The 7,473-nt window shown below is 35.5% G+C and overlaps 1 long non-coding RNA gene across 1 annotated transcript; it reads right to left on the minus strand.

Annotated features, from left to right (window-relative positions):
* Positions 1–449: 449 nt before the first annotated feature.
* LINC01912 (long intergenic non-protein coding RNA 1912) lies at positions 450–7,174 on the minus strand. The gene is made up of 4 exons (NR_183524.1): positions 5,870–7,174; positions 3,996–4,041; positions 2,652–2,745; positions 450–936 (listed from the first exon to the last, which is right to left on the minus strand). It is a non-coding gene; the product is annotated as a long intergenic non-protein coding RNA 1912 (long non-coding RNA).
* Positions 7,175–7,473: the final 299 nt, after the last annotated feature.

A 7,473-nucleotide genomic window follows, 5' to 3' on the forward strand; every position in this document is an offset into this window, starting at 1 on the left:
CCTTTGTTTTACAAACAATCCCATTACACTCTTTTAGTTATTTTAAAATGTACAACTAAATTAGTATTGACTGCAGCTACCCTGTTGTGCTATCAAATAGTAGGTCTTATTCATTCTTTTTATTTTTTATACCCATTCATTATCCCTACTGCCTCACATCCCCCCACTACCCTTCCCAGCCTCTGGTAACCATCATTCTGCTCTCTATGTCCATGAGTTCAATTTTTTAGATCCCACAAATAAGATCCCACAATTAGAAACTGGATGGAGAAAACATAATAAAAAGATAATTCAACTGTGTTTGAGAAAGAGAATCCTATGAGAAAAGGCCCATCCAAAAGAGTTAGCATTGTGTGCATATGCAGACATAATTGTGATTTTTAAACCTGGTAAGTAGCCAGATGGCAGTTCAATCAGCTGTCAGTCGTGTGAGCATCTCAAAATCAAGATGGTTTAAACAACAATCATTTATTTAATTCATATTTCTGTGGGTTGGAAATTTGGGCTGAGCATTGATAGATGGTTTTTCTGATCTGTACTAGGTTTGGCTGACCTTGGCTGGGCTTACACATGTGTCAAGGTCAACCTCCTGTCATCTGGACTGGTTGGCTTAGGGTAGTCTCTTTAGGACAGTTTGCCTCTCCTCTGTATTATGCCTCATCTTCCAGCTGGAGAGGTTGGAGCTTGTTAAGCAGTGGCTCAGAAGATTCCTAAGGAGCAGCAGAGAATTCAAGGCCTCCTGAAGCCAAGGCATGAAACTGGCATGAGGTCACCTTCTGATGCGTTCTATTGCTCAAAGCAAGCCACAAGGCCCATCCAGAGGCAAGGAGTAAGAAAATGGCTTCTGTTTACTGATGGGAAGAACCGCAAAGTCACATTGTAACAAACCATGGGTATGAGGAAGGAAATAACCATCGCCATCTTTATGACCTATGGCTGGATTCAAAATTGGAGGAAAAAAAAAACAAAAAAACAGAAATACGATGTTAATTATCAAGCCCTCATAGGCTCTAATATTAATGTTTCTTGGTTAGAACTTTTCTGGTTTTAATTAAGAACTTTGTGTTGACTGGTGTAGGTCAAAATGATAATTTACTTAAATAGTATCTCACAGTTTCTGAGGACAAAATGTAACTGCTTTTATTCTGGTTCTTTTGTGGATTTTCACGGCATAAATATGGTTGTTTAAGTGTGTATTCTGTTTTGTAATCTTTAGTGCATTTTCATGGATATAACCGGCTGGCTGGTAGTATAATTTTTAAAACACATATTCCCTATCATTAACTTAATAGATTTTAGGACTCAATCTAATATAACCGCCATAATTGTTTAAAGAAAATATTGTTAAAAAGAGTAGCCAGCTCTTTGATGACGACTTCACTTATTAGTTTTTATTTTATCTCTACTGATTCCTGGAACAAAAATTCAATTAAATTTTTAAAGTTGGGAATGTTGTAATTCCTCAGTGCTTATGTGCATATGAACATCTTTCTGCTCCTTTTAACTTGGGTAATATTCTGGATAGGTAGAAAATGTTAAACGTATCCATGTGTCTTTAAAACTGGAAAATTATTTTTTACTATCTTCTGGCATCTAGTGTTATGAGAAGTGAGGCCCGTCTCACTTTTCTCCACAGCTTCAAAGATTAAATGTGTTCTGTCTAGATGTGTAAGATAGTCTTTTATTTTTAGAAAGATTTTTTAATATTAGGAACTCAGCTTATATTAGAAGAATGAAAAATACAGCTCTGTGTTCATAATTTCATATTACTTTTTCTCTATACACAGTAGCCATTCTTAGTTCATGATAAATTTTCATTGTGTTCTCCCCTATAGAAATAGTGGTTATACACAGTCTTTGCCTAACCTAGATTTAATTTCTATATCACTTTATTTTTATTCTATTGCACACTTGTATTTATTCATTTTTTATGCATTTTTCTATTAACGGACCCATTTTTTTCCAAAAATCATTGATTCTACAAATCACCTCTCATAAAATATTTTAAATTTATAAAATTATTTTACCCTTTTCCTGGTCTCTTTAATGCTCTCTGTTTTAGATTACATATATGTGTGTGTGTGTGTGTGTGTGTGTGTGTGTGTATGTAGATATACATATATATATACATATATATATATATTTTTTTTAATTTTTTTATTTTTTATTTTTATTTTTTTTTGAGACGGAGTTTCGCTCTTGTTGCCCAGGCTGGAGTGCAATGGCACGATCTCGGCTCACGGCAACCTCCACCTCCTGAGTTCAAATGATTCTCCTGCCTCAGCCACCAGGGTAACTGGGATTACAGGTATGTGCCACCACGCCTGGCTAATTTTATATTTTTAGTAGAGGCGGGGTTTCTCCATGTTGGTTAGGCTGGTCTCGAACTCCCGATCTTAGGTGATCCACCCACCTAGGCCTCCCAAAGTGCTGGGATTACAGGAGTTTTTTAAAACTTCCTAGTCTGACTCATCTTCTTGTTCTCTATTTTCTACTTCCAGAATTTGACTTATCAAAAAAAAGCTTAAGCAGTATTAACATACACTTTTCCTACCCCCATTCAAGAAACAAGAGTCCAGGAAAATAGTTCTAAAGATTCTTAAAACTCCTCATCCATTAACAGGTAAAGAACTTTTGTCTTTCAAACTCACCTGAGAAGATTAAACTGAGGAAATAGGAAACAAAATCCAAAATACAAGAGGATGATGCTAAGTTCTTGCTGTGCAAAGACGACACAGTAATATACTACAGGGGTGGAGACAGAAGAAACCAAATAAAATATTTTTACAAACTGCAGAAATCCCTGTCCTGTTTTCATGCATCATCCTAGATGAGGGATGGCCAGAGGATTCCTCTAGTGCAGGGCTGCTCAGAATGTGGTCCACACACCAGCAGCAGCAACATTATCTGGACATCGGTAGGAGTTCTTGGGGCCTGCCACATCTTATTGAATTTGAATCTTTGATACTGGAGCCAAATCTCTGTATTCACAAGCCCTCAGGTGGTTAGTTTGAATGCTAACTTTGGAGAAGTAATAGTAGGGAATGTACATTACACACCATTGAATTAAGATTAGTGCATTCACAGAAAAGATGTATATGGAACTCCTGTGAAATAGTTGCATTAAGTGGGAGGACCACCAGTAGGGTTGCTTAAGTCCCCAGGGCTCATCTTGTCTAGACATATACAGTACAGTTGTCAAACAGTAGTATGCTGAAGCTAAAGGAGTAACTATGACGATGACAATCACTGTAGACCAAGTATTAAATCCATGCAATGGTTTCCTGGCTTCATTTGAGAATTAGATTTTTGAATATGTCCACATTGAGGCTAGGTTGAACTGAACCTCAAGAAAAACTGACACTACATGTATTTCTATCTAGATATGCAACTGTAAATGATTGGAGGCCAAGAAAAAATTCTAATTTAAGAAAAAAAGTTCAAATGTATTATTTATTACAACCAAATGCTTTTATGTAAAACCATACACATTACATAAAAATCATTTTCATACGGCACATTTTCTGTTGAATGTGTTCCCCTTTGTTAAAGCAGTTTTATCCAGTCTTACTATAAACTGAAGATTATGTGGCTTATCTTTTGACGATTATATTTTTATAGCTGAACATTCGTTAGTGGTACTTTTCAGATTTGATCAGGGCACCATTTAGAATGGCCTGCCTGTGTGAAGTCGTGGTGGGAATGGGCAGGAGGAGAAAGGGTTGGTTTTAAACCAAGCTGTAAGTGTAGCCGGCTGCTCTCCAGGCCTCCTTAACTGCAGGCATGTTTCTTACAAATATCCTGGGAGCATTTCATTAGGCCTACCTATATATCAATTCCTTTAGGCCTGCTGTCTAACAATAACCTAAACCAATATACTTTTATAACTTTAATATCTCTAGACAGTTCATTCACACATCACTCTTTGAAAAGAGTCTGTCCTATTCTAAGCAATAGCTGTCTAATCCAAATATGTAGTCTAGTGGTTTTCAAACCTTATTTCTTCTCTCTCCAGGGTTTGGTTAAAGTGCCTCTGGGATGCTATTAGATAAAAGAAAGAAAACTAATGTTAGTCGTGGTCTCTTCCCTTAATTAAATTGGTATATTTCTGGTTCCATCTGTTATTTAAAATTACATTTCTTCAAATATTCTGTTTATTAAATCGTCTGTGAATATTTAATAAGGTTCTGTTTATTAAACAATTGAAGTTTGAATAATCCTCATGTAAGCCAGGGAAATATGTTAGCATGTGATATAATGTTCCTGGCAAACTTCAATAAAACACTTAACATTTGCTAGGGGTTCTCTGGAGGTAGCATATTAACCAAACTTATTCCAGCAAAGGTTAATTTAAGTAACCTCAGTAGAGTTCTCTGGGACAGTTGGAGACCAGTGATGACTGTGTAATCACCCCCTTTAGGAAAAAGCTTAGACTTTCATCAGTAACATAAAAAATCGGTCATAAAAAGACTAGAAGCCTGGTAGGAATGAAGAATCATCCTTATTTTTAACATATCATTTCTTATTTTCTAAATTTTTCAAAGCATTTTCTCTAAGACATTAAAAAACATATACTAGTTTATTTTCTCTTTTTGCACAAATTTCACTGATAGATATATTTACATATATTTTATACAGTAACTTTTGGAAATATATATACTAGAGATAGTAATTGCAATTTTAAATTCAATTGACCAGCTTTTGAAATATACTTGTCTCAAATTCTATTGCTGATTTAATTTCTTTTTTCAATGTAGAGTGTCTACATTTTTAATCTATAAAGTGATTAGAGCAGAACAATTCTTCTTCATTAAATGATAATAGTAAAATGCTGCTCTATAGGTAAAAACTAACAAAGAAAGTCACCTATTAAGTTGACAACCACATGCTGGTAGTCAGAAAGAAATACTAGTTTCAAGACTTCACAACAGTTTAAGATAAATATTTTGTTCTCATGTTTATGATTCTATTTATTGTCAAATGTGTGCTAATATCTAGGAATACTATGCTGTCATAGATTAACGTTTAGTTATTTCACAGAAATCAAAGTCCATCTCCAAGAGTTTTAGATTGCCAAGGATTGTTCTGTGCCTGATTAGTATTTTAAAAGACACAGTCACATGTGATAGCATGTGGGTGTTCTCTTTCGTGTGGTACATATAGTCCTGATGAAAGTGCTATTAAAGATCACATCATATGGATTACTAAAAGCAATAATAGTGTGATGACTGCAGCAGTTGCTCAGACCTGGCAATATGAGTGGGAGAAAGCTCTTTCTCTAGGTAACTATTGCTCTCATTCAAACATAGCTGCAGGCTCTTACACTTTGAATCACCTCACAATAGATTTTAAACATAATGAGGAATAATAGAAAAGGGAGTTATTGAACTTACAATAATCAAGTCAGAAATGCCTCAAGTAGACTCATTTTAAATTACTTTAAGGAATGTGAGACGACTATGAGCTTCCTTAACAATATAAAATTTCCTAATCAATGAGTCACTGCTTGAATACAGTAGCTATGTTGCCACACAATGAGATAAAAATGCATATAAAAATGTTCAGGGTGTGTGATGTACTAGGCATGTTGCATATGTATGAAAAATGAGAAGTATAAAGTATATAATATGTATTTATATGGAAACAAATCCTCTGCCTTGGAGGTATTCTTAAATATCCATATCTTGTAGTTATAATGTTTCTCTTGAAAATCCAAAATTTTATTTTCCTTCAAATTATCCAGACATTTAATCTTCTTTAAATATAAATGTAAGTTAATAAATTATTCTACAATGTGTAAGTGTGAACAACTACTGAGAAGTCAAACACAGTATTTTCATTGTGAACAGTTTCTCTAAATGGTCCCTACCTTCTTGCTCCGATTGAAACTCGAATCTCCCCTGAGGATGCTGATTCTCCAACAGGCTTCTCAGGGATGCCTGTGCTTTCCTCCCCCACACCTCATACACCTAGGCTTGAAAGTGACGGATGTGACTTCTTCGTTCTGCATTGCTTTTTCTAGAGCCTTCCCTCTCCGCCTTCAGCTTGGACTTTCATATCATGAGTCAATCTTTTCTTGTTGCCAGTAGCACTGACTGTGGTTTACTCCTCCTTATTCCTTGAAATCTTATGTCTGTGCTCACTCTATTTCTCTCCAACACAACTTTTAAATCCTTCATTATTTCACTGTACACCTGTGTGGCCTTTCCAAATCCTGGAATCTATGTTATTTGGCACCTTCAAACTCACCTGAGAAGATTAAACTGAGGAAATAGGAAACAGTCCTCCTTAACTGTCACTTTGATGCCTGTATCTTATACCTCATCACCATTAATGTCAAAACAACTACAGTCCCAGCCACCAAAATCTTTTCCAAATAGTCCTATCGCATAAAAATCGAAAAATTGAAGATCTCACAAGCTCTTACACTCAAATTGATACACTTATATTTGACATTTTTTCTATCACTTATGGAAATAGTACTAGGAAAAATGTATAAGTGTACCAAAATTACACTCAATATTGATACACTTATATTTGACATTTTTCCTATTACTCTGAATAAATCGTGAGTAAATTTAGTGAAAATCGACCTCCCATTCATATATTCTGTTTCTGTCTCACATAGTCCAGGATAATTCTTAGCAATTATCTTTTCTCTCTCCTTCATCTCTCCTTCATCTGTAATGTATCTTTCCCTTATGTCAACAAACAGCTTGTCAGGCCTCCCTAAATAATAATAAAAATAATAACCATAACCTCAATCTCCACTTCTTTTTCCAACAACCATCATATTGCTCTGTTTCCCTTTACAGAAAAATATCTCAAAATTGTTTTTGTCCACTGTTTCCAAATTATCTCTTGTGTCTCCCCTAAGGTCACCAGTGTCTTCCATATGTTCAAAACCTGTAGTCAGCCCTCAATTCTTATTTGCTTGACCTTTCAGCGGTGCTTGATGCCATTGATCATATTTTCATTTTTAATATTTTTAGTCTTGATATCCAACTGGCCATATATTCTGGGAACTCTGTTATTTTCTTCTTCTAGTTATTGTACACAAATGACCCCTAAATTGTTATTTTGGTCCTGCACTTCTCTGGATTCCCCAGACTATAATATCCAATTCCTACTTTACATTTCAATTTGAAGGTCAAATAGACATCTCAATCCTAACCTGGGCCATCTCTTTGAGAACCTTCAATATTAGTGTCTTCTATGTGATGCCACTGGCATTCTGGAAGCAACATGAATAGAATGGTGAGTGAGCATCTCAGGGTTAAGGATTATGGTCCTTAATCTCATCATTTCAGCTGGGTACTCACGCCTCTAATGATGGCTAGAATCTCTCAGTTCAGAGATCCTTTCTACCCGTTCTCTCTCTAAACTTTAGAACAAGGGCAGAGGGCAATCCCTAGAAGTTGGTAAAAGGCTGGAGATGTGGAGCTCTAACTCTGCCAAATGATGTGCCCCTGT

This window comes from Homo sapiens, chromosome 18 (assembly GCF_000001405.40).
Source record: "Homo sapiens chromosome 18, GRCh38.p14 Primary Assembly".
NCBI lineage: Eukaryota > Metazoa > Chordata > Mammalia > Primates > Hominidae > Homo > Homo sapiens.